Raw genomic sequence first — 18,044 nt, 5'->3', positions numbered from 1 at the left:
TAGGGAAAAGAAAATGTTATTAAGAAAATGATAAGGAAGGAAAGTATATTAATTATTCACAAAGTGGAAGTGGATTATCATAAAGGTCTTCATCCTTGTCTTCACATTGAGTAGGTTGAGAAGTGGGAGGAAGGAGGAGGGTTGGTTTTGCTGGCTTAGGCGTGGCAGAGGAAGAAGAAAATCTACATGTAAGTGGACACTCACAGCTCAAACTCATGTTGTTCAACGGTCAACTATACTTATAAAATACACAAGACCTGGGATATGAAGAGCCCAGAGAGGAAAATATATATCACAGTGGTCAATAAGAACATTTGTATAGGGCTTTGTAGTTAAAATTACTTTTCCTATCTTCTCCCCACAGTAATCTCATGAGGTAGACAGGGCACCATCATCTCCACTGGGCAGCTGTAGAAACCGTGACTCTGCGAGTTTAAGTGATTGACAGAAGGTTATAGGTTTATACATTCTAGGGGCGGACAAAGAACACAGGTTTTCCATGGTGATGTGGAACTTTTTCCATAATACCTTAGACGTGACTTCTTTTTCTGTATAATTTGATGAGAAAAGACCCAGAAGTGGTAGTTTCTAACTTATCAATATATAGCAACCTAATATGTGTCTCCTAGAACTGTACATCTTTACCTATACTACAGAGAAAGCCACACCAGACAGAAACTTAGTTAAAACTCTTCTTGTATTTGCTGTATAACTCATTTATGACTCTGAAACCCTGTAATACTATTGTGTTCAGAATTGGTTCCTCCCAGTGGGTTCTTGGTCTGGCTGACTTAAGTAATGAAGGCCCAGGCCCCTCACAGTGAGTGTTACAGCTCTTAAAGGTGGCACGTCTGGACTTGTTTGTTCCTCTGGGTGGGTTCGCGGTCTCACTGACTTCAGGAGGAAAGCTGCAGACCTTCGCAGTGTTACGGCTCTTAAAGGTAGTGTAGACCCAAAGAGTGAGCAGCAACAATGAAGAGCGAAAAAACAAACCTTCCGCAGCCGAGAAGGGGACCTGAACAGGTTGCTGCTGCTGGCTTGGATGGCCAGCTTTTATTTCCTTATTTGGCCCTGCCTATGTCCTGCTGATTGATCAATCTTACAGAGTGCTGACTGGTCCATTTTTACAGAGTCCTGATTGGTGCATTTAGAAACCTTTACCTAGACACAGAGCACTGATTGGTGCGTTTACAATCCTTTAGCTAGAAAGAGAAGTTCTCCAAGTCCCCACCCGACCCAGAAGCCCAGCCGCTTCATATCTCACTATCAGCTGTGATCATAAGCTTACCTAGAAAGGTGGGGGCTTGGGCTGGGCGCAGTGGCTCACATGTGTAATCCCAGAACTTTGAGAGGCTGAGGTGGGTGGATCACAAAATCAAGAGTTCGAGACCAGCCTGACCAACATGGTGAAACCCCATCTCTACTAAAAATACAAAAATTAGCTGGACGTGGTGGCAGGTGCCTTTAATCCCAGCTACTCAGGAGGCTGAGGCAGGAGAATCACTTGAATCCAGGAGGTGGAGGTTGCAGTGAGGTGAGATTGCGCCATTGCACTCCAGTGCTCCAGCCTGGGTAACAGAGCAAGACACCGTCTCAAAAAAAAAAAAAAAATGTGGGGGCTTGATATGAGGTGCTCAGATCTGGTCACCTTCCAGGGGTGCAGGTGGCCAAGGGGCAGCAGGACATGGCTAGGGGTGGGACACAATCAAATCAGAGATGTTTCCTATACTTGAATGGTCTCTCATACATCTCACTGCAGTGCTGTCTCCTTGGTGCAGAGTACACACAGGAAAATCTTTTGAGGCTACATCACTTGGTTGGACTGGAGCATGGCTACGAAGAAAACTATTGGGGCCAATCCCCAACCTCTAAACTTCACAGATTTATTTTTCCATCAAACTATTGACATACGGCAACATTGAGAACTTCAGCATCATCGAAACCTCCGCCAGGTGTCTTGCAGAGCCGTCACAGTTCACATCAGCATACTGCACAAACAAAAAAGACTTGAAGAATGAGGGAATTGAATACACAGCGTTCTCGAGCCTGAGAGATATGCTGGGAGAAGATCTATGAAAACAGATTCGGTGCTGCATACACACTGTGCCCATCACAGCCTCCAGAGATGATGCTGGCTGGTAGGTGCCAAGCATGGGACTCTGCACTCACTTGTACTCATAGACGCTAATGGATACTTTCAATTTAAATCTAGAATTGTCTTTTCATTTCGAGAGTAAACATGAAAAAGAATGGTTTCAAGACAGCGAGCCTGCCATGAAATAGTTACTGTGTCTTATAATTTGATGTTATTGAATTTAATGAAAAGTCCAGAAAGACAGCACAATTGATGTCAACATGCTGAAGCTTGAGGTCAGGAACCATGAAACCCTTCTGTGGGTCCATCAAAGATGGGAAGCCAAAATCTTCCAATGATGTGGAGACCATGGATTGCTCACCCACAGAGTCCCCTACAGAGGGGCTTTTAGGAGGTCACCAGTAAGACCAGGAACTTTTTCTCATAATTGAACAGAATTTGTGTGCTTCTAGTCACTCATTTGTTAATTTATAATGAATTATTACGGAACATGTCAGGCATGATACTTGGCAAAATAAATACTACAACCAATGTTGGGAGGCCGAGGTGGATGGATCATGAGGTCAGGAGATTGAGACCATCCTGGCTAACACAGTGAAACCCTGTCTCTACTAAAAATACAAAAAAATTAGCCAGGCGTGGTGGCATGCACCTGTAACCCCAGGTACTCGGGAGGCTGAGGCAGGAGAATCGCTTGGACCCAGGAGGCGGAGGTTGCAGTGAGCCTGAGATTGTGCCACTGCACTCCAGCCTGGGCGACAGAGTGAGACTCTGTCTCAAAAAAAAAAAAGAAATATTACAACCAACAATGCATGGCCCCTGCCTTAGCTCAGGGTGGGTGTGATGATGGCTTTTTGGCTGACAGGGCCAAAGGAGCCCTGACCACAGACCAGGCAGGGGTGGGGTTCCCAGTGCAGAGCCCCGACCCTAAGGCTGCCAGCAGCCATCTCTGCAGAAGGGACTAGAAGCTGCTTCCTGCATGCACAGGTTGGTGAAGCAGTGGGAAGCTCCTGTTGCTTGCACCTCTGGCTCTAGTGACCGCATGAAGGAGGTGCCAGCAAGCACGAGTCCACATCAGGAGCCCAGAGGCCAGGATGGGAAGGGGGTGTACAGTGGTGGTTAGTGCCCGGGCTCTCAAGTCAGCACCTGCGTTCCCATCTCAGCCCTCCCATTTATTATTAATAGTTGGGAGACTTTGGACAACTGGATACTCTTTCCTGAATCTTAGTTGTTCCAGCTATGAAACAGTCTAAGCCTGGTACGTGCCTCCTGAGTCTATGCAAACTGCAAGGGATCGTGTATGGAAAGCATCAGCACAGCACCTGGCCATGACACAGTTTCCCTGGGTTCATCCTAACGGTGGCCCCCCACTGGGGCTCCCTGCCACAGTGCCCCCATCCCGGGGCTCCCCCCAACAGGACCTTTGCATGGCCTGAGCTTGGCTTCAGCTTGCTGAATTATAACTCGTTAGTTCACATGTCTGCCTCCTGCCTATTCCAAGAACAGCTCCCACCTGGAACAGCAGCTTGTGTGTATCTGTATTCCTAGCACATACCATCTATTCCCAACACATAGTAAATATGCAATAAACATTTTTGAGTCAAATACTTGTGTTACGAAGGAAAGTTATGAGTCATAAAGTTTTCTTAGATTTTGATAAAACCAGGGGGCTAACATAAGATAAGGAAATGTCAAGTCTGCAATGTTGAGTATTTTCTCTTCCATACCTTCATTATTACCCCAGTTCTGACCACGTGGGCCAGGAGACACAAAAGGACTTGCTCCTGTTTTTCTTTTAGGTAAATCATTTCTCATACTTTCTCAGTGAGTCTGTGATAATAGAGACAACAGTGATGTCAGAATATTCTGGAAGGACGGAAAGCATGGCCCGGTTTCAGCTTGGGATGCTGATATCATTCTGGGGTTTTTCCAGCACATTCATCAATAAAGACCCATGCAAATTAGAATCCTGGAACAGCATGACAAAGTCAGTCCTAAAATCCTGCAGGTGCTTCTGATGCCGGCAGGAGGTGGGGGCGGGGGAGGGGGGCGCGGGGGGTGGGGAGCGGGGGAAGGAGCCTGACGGAGGAGGTAGCAGCGACCTGGATCTCGAACCACTGCTGTCCTCTTGTGGCCTGGCAGATGATGTGCTTCTGCTCACCAACTCAGTTCAGTCAGAAACTGGAGCTTCCAGGGCCACCCTCGTCATGCTCCAAAAGCTGCAGTGGAAATTGAGTTTATTTTTCCAAAGAATGCATAATAAGAAAGAACTCTCTGCTTAATGCATTGCCCAGGATGAGTGTGACCTACTGCAACTGGGTTATGAAAAGACAAAAATAACTGTGCCTGTCAGGAAAGAAGGCTGCATTCTGAAGTGGAATTTACCCAGACCCTTGGTCCTGGTAGAAGGGTAGTATTCTTTCACTGAGGTGTGGACACCTTGGCGTCAACATCACGGTGGGACAGAGGGCACCCCAGCTGATGTGACACGAGGGGTCCTGTCTCAGCCTCAGGACCGAATGGTAGCAAGGAGCTGGATATGACAAATCTCTCCCCTTCTAAACTCAGGACTTCAGAGCAGTCAGTATGTTAGGCTATTTCACCAGAAATCATTATCTTTGTTCTATAAGTCCCTCATTTTGAGCAGCATCAAAATACACTTTGTCATTTTTGTCATTTGGCTCATTTGTTTAGTTAACAAATGTGCACTTAGCACTCACCATGAGCCAGCCATCTCAAGGGTCCCACAGACACTCATCCCTGTCCTGGGGCTCACCTTGTTAAACTCTCTCTCTCTCTCTTTCTCTCTCTCTGTGTCTGTCTGCCCCCCATTTCTACCCACCCCATGACCACACACACTTGGATGCCTAGGTTTTTGTGTGAGGCTCACATGACAACTCATTAGCTGCTAGTTGAGTTGGCTGCTGCAAAGTTCTCCACAGGGACGCCCAGAGCACATTTCTGCCCAGATCAGACTGAAATCCATGTGGACACCAGGAATAAATGACTGGTATATAGAAAGCTTTCTACATCTCAAAGATTCTCTACTTCAGGCATGCACAGGAAGAGGTCCTCTCAGCCTCTCAGGATGCAAAGCAGGAGCCCGGGTTTCTCTGGAGAAAGGAAAGGGGCTGTTCCACAGAGTAGCCCTAAGGATGCCCCGATCAGGCCTTCCTAGGGGTGGCAAAGAGTCCTCCAGGCTGTTACCTACTGAGAGCTAGAGATGCTGTCTGCTGGAACCTTCCTTTCTGTCCAGTGTTTTCTTGCATCTACCTTCGGATTAACAAAATAGTAAATGCTGGATGTAGAACACCGTGCAATGTTTGGAGTTTTCTAATCCAGCTAGTGTAGTTGCCCAAGGCTGGGTCTGCTGGTCTGTGTGGCTGTGGCCCCAGGGGACGCCAAGCCCCAGCTGCAGGTCCAGGCCCTACTGGGACGAACATGAGGAAGGAAAGACCAACAGAAGTGCCCCTGTCCTCCCATACCCCATGGGAGTACTGCTGTGAGGGCTGCATGACAGGTGCCAGAGCAAGGGTGGCTTTTCCGGGGCTCTTCACGCTGGAGGGCTTACTTTCTCACTCACAGCTCCTCTGCGCATTCATTTGAGTAACATTTCAATGTGGAGCTCAGTGTCCCAAGGAGCTGTCTGCCTGGGGCCCCTCACCTGTCTGTAGGGGGCCCCTCACCTGTCTGTAGATGGCCCCGAGAAGAGCATGCAAAGTGAGGAGAATGAGTGGGATGGTTGAACAGGTACATCAGTCCCATTCTGCATCCCTGATCCTTCATCAGAGGAAGCAGCGCATCATCCTGAAGGAAAAGTCAGGCTGACCTCAGATCGAATCCAGCTCTGCCATTCAGCTGTGTTAATCAACCTACTGACCCTATTTCCTCATCTGTAAAATGGGTGCAAGAATATAAACCTCACAGGATGGTCATGAGACTTAAGTGAGCTTATATAAAGTGTCTAGGACAGTTTCTGGAACATAGAAATTAATAAATGGGAATAGTTGTGTACATTGCATTTTTGCCTAAAAGGAATGGGAAACCTTTAGGGCCAATGAAGGAGAACAGGGGAACACCATGTCCACTTTCCCAAAAAAGTGCATCTCAGGATACAGTGAGACCACCAGCTAAAGCGTGCAAAGCAGAATTCAATAGATGACCACTGAGGTCCGACAGGCCTGACTTCTTCCACACACTCAGTGTATCAGACTGGATGAAAGAAGGAAATAGGGGCCTCTGTGAGCACATCAGAAGTTATCCTTGCAAAAGTGAAGAAAGGTGAGCCGCACGATCCTGTCTGTGGCGCATTGGAGGAAGCCTGATTGACTGTCTTTATAGGAGCACACGGGGGCCTCACAGGAGCTGAGGGACAGCATGGGATGTGAGGGGCTCTGAGTGAGAAGACCGTTGATGACATGATGTCAGGGGCTCTGAGGGAGAAGGGGCCCATGAGATGATGTGAGGGGCTCTGAGCTGAGAAGACCGTTGATGACATGATGTCAGGGGCTCTGAGGGAGAAGGGGCCCATGAGATGATGTGAGGGGCTCAGAGCTGAGAAGACCGTTGATGAGATGATGTCAGGGGCTCTGAGGGAGAAGGGGCCCATGAGATGATGTGAGGGGCTCTGAGCTGAGAAGACCGTTGATGACATGATGTCAGGGGCTCTGAGGGAGAAGGGGCCCATGAGATGATGTGAGGGGCTCTGAGCTGAGAAGACCGTTGATGACATGATGTCAGGGGCTCTGAGGGAGAAGGGGCCCATGAGATGATGTGAGGGGCTCTGAGCTGAGAAGACCGTTGATGACATGATGTCAGGGGCTCTGAGGGAGAAGGGGCCCATGAGATGATGTGAGGGGCTCTGAGCTGAGAAGACCGTTGATGACATGATGTCAGGGGCTCTGAGGGAGAAGGGGCCCATGAGATGATGTGAGGGGCTCTGAGCTGAGAAGACCGTTGATGACATGATGTCAGGGGCTCTGAGGGAGAAGGGGCCCATGAGATGATGTGAGGGGCTCAGAGCTGAGAAGACCGTTGATGAGATGATGTCAGGGGCTCTGAGGGAGAAGGGGCCCATGAGATGATGTGAGGGGCTCTGAGCTGAGAAGACCGTTGATGACATGATGTCAGGGGCTCTGAGGGAGAAGGGGCCCATGAGATGATGTGAGGGGCTCTGAGCTGAGAAGACCGTTGATGACATGATGTCAGGGGCTCTGAGGGAGAAGGGGCCCATGAGATGATGTGAGGGGCTCTGAGCTGAGAAGACCGTTGATGACATGATGTCAGGGGCTCTGAGGGAGAAGGGGCCCATGAGATGATGTGAGGGGCTCAGAGCTGAGAAGACCGTTGATGAGATGATGTCAGGGGCTCTGAGGGAGAAGGGGCCCATGAGATGATGTGAGGGGCTCTGAGCTGAGAAGACCGTTGATGACATGATGTCAGGGGCTCTGAGGGAGAAGGGGCCCATGAGATGATGTGAGGGGCTCTGAGCTGAGAAGACCGTTGATGACATGATGTCAGGGGCTCTGAGGGAGAAGGGGCCCATGAGATGATGTGAGGGGCTCAGAGCTGAGAAGACCGTTGATGACATGATGTCAGGGGCTCTGAGGGAGAAGGGGCCCATGAGATGATGTGAGGGGCTCAGAGCTGAGAAGACCGTTGATGAGATGATGTAAGGGGCTCTGAGCTGAGAAAGGCGCCCATGAGATGATGTGAGGGGCTCTGAGGTGAGAAGACCATCGATGACATGATGTGAGGGGCTCAGAGCTGAGAAGGGTGCCCGTGAGATGATGTGAGGGGCTCTGAGGTGAGAAGACCATCGATGACATGATGTGAGGGGCTCAGAGCTGAGAAGGGTGCCCGTGAGATGATGTGAGGGGCTCTGAGGTGAGAAGACCATCGATGACATGATGTGAGGGGCTCAGAGCTGAGAAGGGTGCCCGTGAGATGATGTGAGGGGCTCTGAGCTGAGAAGACCATCAATGAGATGATGTGAGGGGCTCAGAGCTGAGAAGGGTGCCCGTGAGATGATGTGAGTTGCTCTGAGTGAGAAGGGTGCCCATAAGATGATGTGAGGGGCTCTGAGTGAGAAGGGCACCCATGAGATGATGTGAGGGGTGGCCAGTGACAAGGGCATTGATGAGCTGAGTGGCGTTTACTCCAGCTGTCATGTGGCCCTCCACAGCAGCCGAACTCCTTGTAGGTAATAGCACTTGTAGGAAGTAATTTGGGAAATCTCACCTTTATCCCTTCTTTCCATAGTCTGCTACTGACCACCCAAATTACTTTGAGGGGAACATGGTTGTAACCCCACCGTTTTGGTCCATTTGGGCTATAATAACACTATACCTTAGCATGAGTGACTTATAACAACAAAAATTTGATTCTGGTCGTTCTGCATTCTGGAAGTCCAAGATCAAGGCAGTTTTGGTATCTGGTGAGGAACTGTTCTTCCTAGACAGTGCTTTCTCACTGTGTCCCCACATGGCAGAGAAAGGACACTTGCTCTCTGGGGGCTCCTATAAGGACACGAACCCTATTCACGCGGGCTCTACTTTCATGACCTCATCTAACCCAAATTACTTCCAACAGACCCCCATCTCCTAATTCCATCATGTAAGGGGGTAGGGTTTCAACAGACACATTTGAGGCTTTTGAACATTCAGTTAATAACACCCACAAAAGGCTTTCTTAAGGTTCAAGAACATTCATCTTCTTTAACTTATCTGGTCTCTCAGGCAATGCTACATCACTATTCCAGAGAGACTTCTGTTTGAGAAGGCCACCCGACCATAGAAATTATAGTCATGCATCCATTGATGATAGAGATACTTTCTGAAAATTGACTTAGTTTGCCCTACCCTTGAAGAATATCAAGGTTTTATGAAACAGACCGTGGCTAAACAGCCAAAGGGAGTCCTTACATTGTAACCTGCCACTCCTCAACAGGTGGATTCTGTCCCTGGAGAAGGGACTCCACCTTGCACAAGATTTGAGCTCACAGATTCGCACTCTGGCTTGACTTAGCAGATGCACGTATAAAGCTGCACTGTCAGGATCTTGCTAGAGGAGATCAGGGATGCCACTTTTCCAGGCTGCAGTGGGGATGGCAGTCAGACCCTTACTGTGCATTGATCGGGGCTGCAGCACTCACATTTGAGTGATGATGCGGTAGTCAGGTTATCTCCAAATCTGATCCACATTCACAAAGAGGAGCAGCTTAGATGCCACGAGTATTACTACCAATAACATCTTATGCCAATAGAAAAGCTTATTAGAGACTTTTCTTATCCTTATTTTCATATTGATCTTTAAACTGCCCAGTGAAGGAAGTGAAACAAATTTTTTTTTCCCTTTTGCAAAGGTCTGGAGAGATGGAGTGATCTGTCCAGATCTGGGGAAGTAATGAGTAGGCTCAGGGAGAGAGATGGTGAAAAATCACTGCCCTGCTAGTCTCTTGGGTGAGTGAGATTGGGTGAAACAGGTTTTTATGGTAGAAAGCACAATGTAAATAGTAAGATTTTTATGGTTAATTAAGCATTTCAAATAAATCAGGACACTCAGAGAAACATTTTCCATTGCCCCAAATACCAATAGATGTGTTTGTGTTTGTTTTGTTTTAATTCATTTCTGGCTTCTTTAAGAGATATTTAAGGTGGAAGGAAAATACAACTTCATCCTCAGTTTTCAAAACTCTGCAGGTTTATATTAATATAATGAATAGAAAAAAGCTGGAGAAATGGATAAATGGTCTTCAAAGAAAGATGAAGATGCCATAAAAATGGTCCTGTTCCCAACAGTTGTCACCGTGGACGCGGGCTGCAGGGAGGCCCGGACGCCCATCCCAGGTTTCGGCCTCACCCTCAGGCTGATGCAGCGTGCCCAGCGGGGAGCAGCAGGACGGGATCTCCTTGCTGGCGTGCCTGCATCCAGCTGTTTACTGCACGTTAATCCTGAATCTGGGGGGCCATCTGTTTGAAAGATGCTATTCCAAGGTGGCCCCCTTGTGTGGCGGCCCAGGGATGGTGACTCAAGGCTTTGGTTCGGGCAGATCTGAAGGACCTATCGGTTATTTTGTCTACACAGAAGGAAGGTTACAATAAGCTGATGTCATTGTGACGGCCATTGGTCTGTTCCCGTCCGAAAGAATTCATTTTCAGCAGTGGGGGGTATCTGTTAGTTCTTTGTTTATCTTGCAGCTGAATTCTCAGCCAGGTCCATGGAATTTTGAGTCACCAACTTGTGTGCAATAATCCAGAGGATTAAAGAATTCTTTTTTTCTTCTTGATACAAAAAGGTATTTTTTTTAAATTCACAGAGGAGAAACATAATTTAATTTTTGAATATTTTCTTTAACATTTTCAAATACATGTGAAAGAGAGAGGGCTTGGCTGGCTTCAACAATTGAAACAAATGCAGCATCTCTCATATTAAAAGTGTTACATAAAATGTAAGCACAATACTACAAATGCTAATGTAATTTATTCTAATTGAGGAATTACTCTGATTCACTATAACTGTGTATAACTATATATAAATTAATGGTATTTTTAAAAGAGTGTGGTAAAAAGATATATAAATAGGAAACACTAGAAATGATAATATGATATTTATTTAATGACTATTTGATGTGTCGGAACATTTTGATTCTGAATAAATATGAGTTTAGTGTATCAGTAATATATAAATATAGCATCATCAAATATAGCAAAACTAATATAATTCAAATATAATATATAATTATATACAATTATATATTTTATATATAATATATAATTATATTATATACAATTATATATTTTATATATAATATATAATTATATTATATACAATTATATATTTTATATATAATATATAATTATAAATGTATATTATAAGAAATAATTATATATCATTATATGGTATATAATATAATAATTATATAATAACATAATTATAATTCAAATATAGTTCAAATTAAATATAGTCAAATTAATACTTTGATAACAAACTAATTAAAAATAAAAACAAGTCTCAGAGGCTTAAAATACAAAAGAATATTTCTCTGCCACGTTTGGTGAGCAGAATCAATTACTACCTTAATAGCATTATATTTATTAATAAAGAGCCTAAATAATTTTCTTTCATTTTAGAATTACTATTGCATTTCAACTTTCTTATTCAGAAACAATAAATTAGCATGGCAGAGATGGCTAATTGCCTCCTGGTTTGGGGGCATTGGTCTGAACATTTTCCATTTTCTTAATAACAAGACCCCAATTTTATTAACATTTATTTATTAAGGGCTAAGCATGACTGTGTGCTCAGCTACATTTCCTGCCTCTCTTGCAGTTCACAGTGGCCACATGATACAGTTCTGGTCAAGTGAGACTTCTGGGAAAGCCTTTACAAGTGAACAGATTTGTCTAGATTGTCCCTTTTGCCCTTTGCCATAGTCTTTCTTTGAGCCAGGAATGTGGATGTGATGGCTTGAGTGCCAGTAGCCATCTTGCACACATGACACAAAAGCTCACACCCTGTGGACTATGGATGGCTACAAAATCCCTAGAAAGGAGATTTAGAATGAACTAGAGTCCCTAATAACATCTATTGCTTATTTTCTTGTTAGTGAGACATGAACATGTATCTTCTATGAACAACTGTTATGGAATTTTCTGTTAAATACAGCCAAACGCAATTTCCACATGATACAATTAAGACAAGGAATAAACTACTAAGATGATAAAAAAAACATTGTGTTCTTCTTGTATATTTCTTGTTCATGATTATTAAATATTTTCTGAAAATCTTGGATTGCTGAAGGAGAAGCCTCAAAATGAAATTTAACCTTCCATTGTGGGCCAGTGTCCTCTACATTTAGTCTTTTTTCATACTTTTTATGAAATATGTACCACTTACAAAGGAAAATCTGATAGATGATAGGTAGATAGACAAATGATATGTAGGTAGATAGGTAGATAAATAAATAGATGATAGATAAATTATAGATTGATGATAGATGATTGATAGATTGATAGATGATAGATAATAAACAGATAAATGGTAGATGATAGAGAGAGAGAGATAGATGATAGATAGATAAATGATAGATGATAGATGATAGATAGATAATAGATAGATAATACATAATAAATAGATAATAGATAATAGGTAGATAATAGATAGATAGATAGATAATAGATAACAGATAATAGATAATAGATAGATAGATAATAGATGATAGATAGATAATAGATAACAGATAGATAGATAATAGATAGATAATAGAAAGCAGATAGATAGATAATAGATAGATAATAGATAATAGATAACAGATAGATCGATAATAGATAGGGAATAGATAATAGCTATATAGATAGATAATAGATAGATAATAGATAATAGCAGAAAGATAGATAGATAATAGACAATAGATAGATAGATAATAGATAATAGATAGATAATTGATAATAGATAGATAATAGATAAATAGATATTAGATAGATAGATATAGATAGATAATAGATCGATAGATATATAGATGGATAATAGATAGATAATAGATAATAGGTTGTAGACACCTTGGTTCCTTCAGGGCTCCTCCACTATCCTATTCTACTCCATGTCTTCCCGAAGTCGCCATTATCATGGATTTTATGTTTATCATTTTCTTGATATTCTTTTTATGTATGTGTTCTTAAGCAATATTGTTTAGTTTTGCATATATTTTATACAGATGAGATTATGCTGTTTGTATTCTTGTGTAACTTCTTTTTCACCCAACATCGTGTTTCTGAAGCTCATCCACATCGATCTATTTGGCTATAATTGATTGATTTTTCACTGCCATGTAGCGTTCGAAAGTATGAGTATACCAAATATATTTATCCACTCTCTAAACACATTTGAGTTGTCATGTCCAGTTTGGGGTTTTTACAAAGAATATTGCTATGACCATTCTTAAAATGTCTCCTGGAGCACATGTATGAGATTCTACCTGGTGTAAATATTTAGAGAGAGAGTTGCTATGTTGCAGAATTGTCACTGGACTCTGGAAAATTATTTTACAAATGAATTTGTCCCAATTTACACTTCCACCAGCATCACAGAAGACTTTCTGTTGTTCCATATGCTCATCGATAAGTATTCACTCTGCCAAGTGCAGCCTGCCAGGAGTGGGGAAAAGGCTGCCTTGGAACATAGGCCCAGCTGCAGCGTCCATGAGACTACAGTCATTGATGCACTCAGGCCACTTGTCAATCGAGCTTATCAAATCCAATCCACTGATTGGTCTTTCACTAAGGAGTCATGAAAGAAAAATGTGGAAAAGAATTTAATGTAGTGCAAAGAGCCAAGTACTGAACCACAAGTCGCATATTCAAGTTCCCGGTTAATTTATTTTCTTGGGTCTAATTTCCTCGACCTGCTCAATAAGGATGTCACACTTGGATGACTTCTGATCACCCCTGGTGGGGGTCTTCAGCTCTGAAATCTTAAAATACCTTACTTCTATTTTACAAAGCAGAAGAGAGGCTTATATTTGACAAACTGTGAGACTCACTAAGTTTCTGAAAATTTTTTACCACATAATCCCTTAATTTAGACTCTGAATTCTTCCAACTACTGGTTTAAAAATAATAATAACTTTTGCTTGAACTTGGCGACAGGCTTAAATTAAAACTTGTACTTAGTGGTGACTTGGTCATAAACCATTGCTTTATGCTGGAAACACTCAGCTTGCTAACTTATGTTGGGCTTTTTTTTTTTTTTTTACAGAGTCTCACTCTGTCACCCAGGCTGGAGTGCAGTGGCGTGATCTCAGCTCACTGCAACCTCCGCCTCCTGAGTTCAAGTGATTCTCCTGCCTCAGCCTCCTGAGTAGCTGGGATTACAGGTGCACACCATCACGCCTGGCTAATTTTTGTATTTTTAGTAGAGATGGGGTTTCCCCCATGTTAGCCAGGATGGTCTCAAACTCCTGAACTCAGGTGATCTGCCCACCTCGGCCTCCCAGAGTGCTGGTACTTACAATTCAATACAGTTCCATGTTTGCAGGGCTGAATCATTACTTCAGGCAACCCTTGCTGCCAGTGACCCCAGCCTCAGAAGGTCCCTGGACTTGATAATGCTCTGTCGTTCCCATGTGGCACTTCTTAATCCTTTTGAACTAGGGGCCTCAAATTTTCATTTTGCACTGGGCCCCGCAAATTATGTCGCTGGTTCTGGGTGTTTTGTATGTAAAATCACCTCTGTGCAAATTTCTCCATAAAACACAATCACGACAAAACCAAGAGAAAGAGGTAAATTGTTTCTAAGACAAAATGAGCAACGTTTTTGTTGTTTTTTCTTTCTTTTTTCCTTTCTTTAATTGCAGTCCACATGCAGAAATGCTGCTTTGCAGAGTTTGGAAAAGATAGCTTTACCTTTCTCCTCACCCCTGCTCCAGAGAAAAGAGTTCTTCCATAGGTCTGTTCCTAGCCACTTTAAAACAGCAGTTCTGACCAGGTGGCTCACACTTGTAACCCGGCCCTTTGGGAGATGGAGGCAGGAGGATCCCTTGAGACCAGGAGTGTGAGACCAGCCTGGGCAACAAAGCGAGATGCTGCCCCTACAAAAAGCAATTATTTCGCTATTTAGCAGGGCATGATGGGCCTGTAGTCCCAGCTACTCAAGAGACTGAGGTGGGAGGATCGCCTGAGTCCAGGAGGTCCAGGCTGCAGTGAGCCGTGATGAAGCCACTGCTCTCCAGCCTGGGCAATGGAGTGAGACCCTGTCTCAAAAATATTTTTTTAAATAGCCAGCAACTCCTACATCTCCCTACCCACGTACATGTGCTTATAAGAAGGAAAGGGTGAGAGAGGGAGGGTAAAGGGAGGGAGGAGTTAGGGAACTTACATCTGTCATCCCCTCAACACACATGCACACACACAATGCCACACACCAAGAGCTTTCTATCCACGGCATACTTGGGAATTTTCAGCGTGCTCATCATCTGATGGACACTTTATGGGAAGAGGGATTTCATTGCTTCTTTTATAGAGCATTAAAGATTTTTTTAATGTTGCTTCAGTGCTATGTACACTGGGCAAGAAATCTCCAGTGTTTCTGCATTTGTTTTAGCTTCCATTTAAGACTATTCCATTAAATAAAATTTCTTAAAAGCTGCACGTCAGTGTGTTTTGACTTAAAAGAACACGGCAATTCTTTTGATTTTGTTAATATTCCAAAAATAAATATTTGACTCATAAAGGTTAAGGAAAATTCATTCTTGTTTACAGTGGCTGCACATGTCCTATGCTCGTTCCAATTCTGGCAGCCAAGCAGCTGGCCCCTTCCACCGGAGCTCCCCGGCCAGCTGTGTGCCCAAGGTTGCTTGAAAACTGTTAAAAAGCATTTACAAACGTTCATATAGACAGGTGTTCTTGCATAAAGCAAAGCTGCCTTCTAAGAATCTAATAAGAAGGATCACACATTTAACTCCATAAAATAGTCAAAATTAAATGCAGGTAATGAAACAAAAGGGACGCCCAAACAACTTAAACAATAGGCTACTTCTGTGCCAAATCGCCTTTTGCCTCCGTCTCCCAAAGGGCTGGGTCCAGGACGTGGGATGCGCTATGGCCCTACCCAGGGGTACTCTCTGTTGGTCAGATTTCTATACCAGGAACATCTGTGCCTACAGAAAACACCTCCCTTAGGATTCGTAGGTGCTACCAAGTGTGCTAGGAGCTGGAGAAAGGGACTTCTCGTGTAGAAATGCCTCTCGTGCTCATTCACCTTGGTGGAGTATTTCATGGGGATTTCTCCAGCTGCGTGATTGAAATTATAGGGAGAAGCAGCTCTCACTGCCACATCAGGACACAGCCAGCACCAGCACATGCTGGATTCAAGCCAACGTGTTAGAAACACGCAAACTCAGGTCGCTCCATGTCTTGTCAGATCGTGTAACTTGGAATGCCTCTGCGGGAACCATAAGCCACCCACCCTTGAGCAGAAACCGAGAGTAAACATTTAGAAACTTTTCTAGCAAATGTTTAACTTTTTATATTTTGAAATAACTGCAAATTTACTGAAAAGTTGCAAAAGGGGTACAAAGAGCTTCCTTCCTGCTGTGTACTCTTCACCGGGGGGGTCCCTAATTGTTAGCATTTATCTCAATACCGTCACATTCGATGTGTGAGGACGGGGCTGGGTGGTTGTCGTGTACACCTGGGTGTTCCTGAACCAGCCAGTGAGCTGCTCATGTGACGCTGTGTCATCTGTTCTTATTAATACTACACTGTGCATTCCCTACGCACAAGGACATTGTTCTACATAAACTAAGCACAGCGTCAAAATCAAGACATTCACACGGCTCTATACAGCACTGTCACATCAACCCCCATTCAAGTTTCCCCGACGGCACTAATAGTGTTTTTCAAAGGTCCAGAGTGCAATTCAGGGTCACACGTTGCCTGTGGTTTCACAACTCCAATTCCCTTCCATCCGAAACAGTTTCAAAGCCTTTGTCTTTCACGATCTTCACTTTTTAAATACAGGTCTTTCGTTGGATAAAAATGCTCCTTGGTTTGGACTTGTCTCAGGTTTGTCACTTGTGCATTTTGGGCAAGAATCCCTTAGAAATGACCCTGTGCTCTTCTCAGTGTACCACATCTGGGGGCACTGTGTCAGGCTGTTCTTGTGTTGCTATAAAGAAACACCTGAGGCCAGGTGCGGTGGCTCACGCCTGTAATCCCAGCACTTTGGGAGGCCAAGGCAGGAGGATCACCTGAGGTCTGGAGTTTGAGACCAGCCTGGCCAACATGGTGAAACCCTGTCACTACTAAAAATACAAAAAATTAGCTGGGTGTGGCGGTGGGCACCTGTAATCCCAGCTACTCTGGAGGCTGAGGCAGGAGAATCATGGGAACACAGGAGGCAGAGGTTGCAGTGAGCTGAGATTGTGCCATTGCACTCCAGCCTGGGTGACAAGAGTGAAATTCCATCTCAAAAAAAAAAAAGAAAGAAAAGGAAAGAAACACCTAAGGCCAAGTGCGGTGGCTCACGCCTGTTATCCCAGGACTCAGGGAGGCCAAGGCAGGTGGGTCACCTGAGGTCAGGAGTTCGAGAGTAGCCTGGCCAACATGGTGAAACCCTGTCTCTGTTAAAAATACAAAATTAGGCGGGCATGGTGGTTGGCTTCTGTAATCCCAGCTACTCGGGAGGCTGAGGCAGGAGAATTGCTTGAACGGGCGGGGAGCCGGAGGTTTCTGTGAGCCGAAACCCTGCCAATGCACTCCAGCCTGGGCAACAAGAGTGAGACTGTCAAAAACAAACAAACAAACAAACAAAAACAAACAAACAAACAAAAACACCTGAGACTGGGTAATTTATAAATAAGAGGTTTAACTGGCTCATTGGCTCATGGTTCTACAGGCTGTACAGGAAGCATGGTGATCGCTCCACTTCTGGGGACCTCAGGAATCTTCTAATCATGGCAGAGGGAAAAGGGGAGCAGGCATCTCACATGACAGGAGGAGGAGCAAGAGAGAGTTTGAGGGGAGATGCCATCACCTTTAAATGACCACATCTCTTGAACTCAGAGCAAGAACTCACTTATCACCAAGGAGATGACCCAAGCCATTCATGGAGGGATCTGCCCCATGATCCAAACACCTCCCACCGGGCCCCACCTCCAACACGGGGACTCCATTTCAACATGAGATTTGGGCAGGGAGAAATATCGAAACTGTACCAGGCACCCGAGGTTAGTTTGTCCTATTGGTAGGTGAAATTAATTTATCACTTGGTTTAGAGGAGATCTGGTAGGTTTCTCCACTGTGAAGTCAGGTAATGAGTTTCTGATACTCATTAGTTGGTAAGGAATTAATGAGTATTTTGTGGAGAAAAGCTTTGAGACTTCAACAAGAAGGTAGGCTTTTCCCTTCTCTCTCATTTATTCATTCATATCAATGTGAACTCCTGAATTCCT

General features: G+C 44.3%; 1 long non-coding RNA gene across 4 annotated transcripts; it reads right to left on the bottom strand.

The window, feature by feature from the left end:
• Positions 1-1,848: 1,848 nt before the first annotated feature.
• Positions 1,849-5,891, bottom strand: LOC124901236 (uncharacterized). Of its 4 annotated transcripts, none has more exons than XR_007059391.1 (5): positions 5,782-5,891; positions 5,307-5,368; positions 4,198-4,314; positions 3,823-4,064; positions 1,849-1,988 (listed from the first exon to the last, which is right to left on the bottom strand). It is a non-coding gene; the product is annotated as an uncharacterized LOC124901236 (long non-coding RNA). The 4 variants fall into 4 exon arrangements; XR_007059390.1 differs by having other exon boundaries at positions 3,823-3,925; XR_007059393.1 differs by lacking the exon at positions 5,307-5,368 and having other exon boundaries at positions 3,823-3,925.
• Positions 5,892-18,044: the final 12,153 nt, after the last annotated feature.

This window comes from Homo sapiens, chromosome 6, assembly GCF_000001405.40.
Source record: "Homo sapiens chromosome 6, GRCh38.p14 Primary Assembly".
NCBI classification, from domain to species: Eukaryota; Metazoa; Chordata; class Mammalia; order Primates; family Hominidae; genus Homo; species Homo sapiens.
Note: the sequence above shows the minus strand (reverse complement) of the source record. Positions and strands in the feature narration are given on the sequence as shown.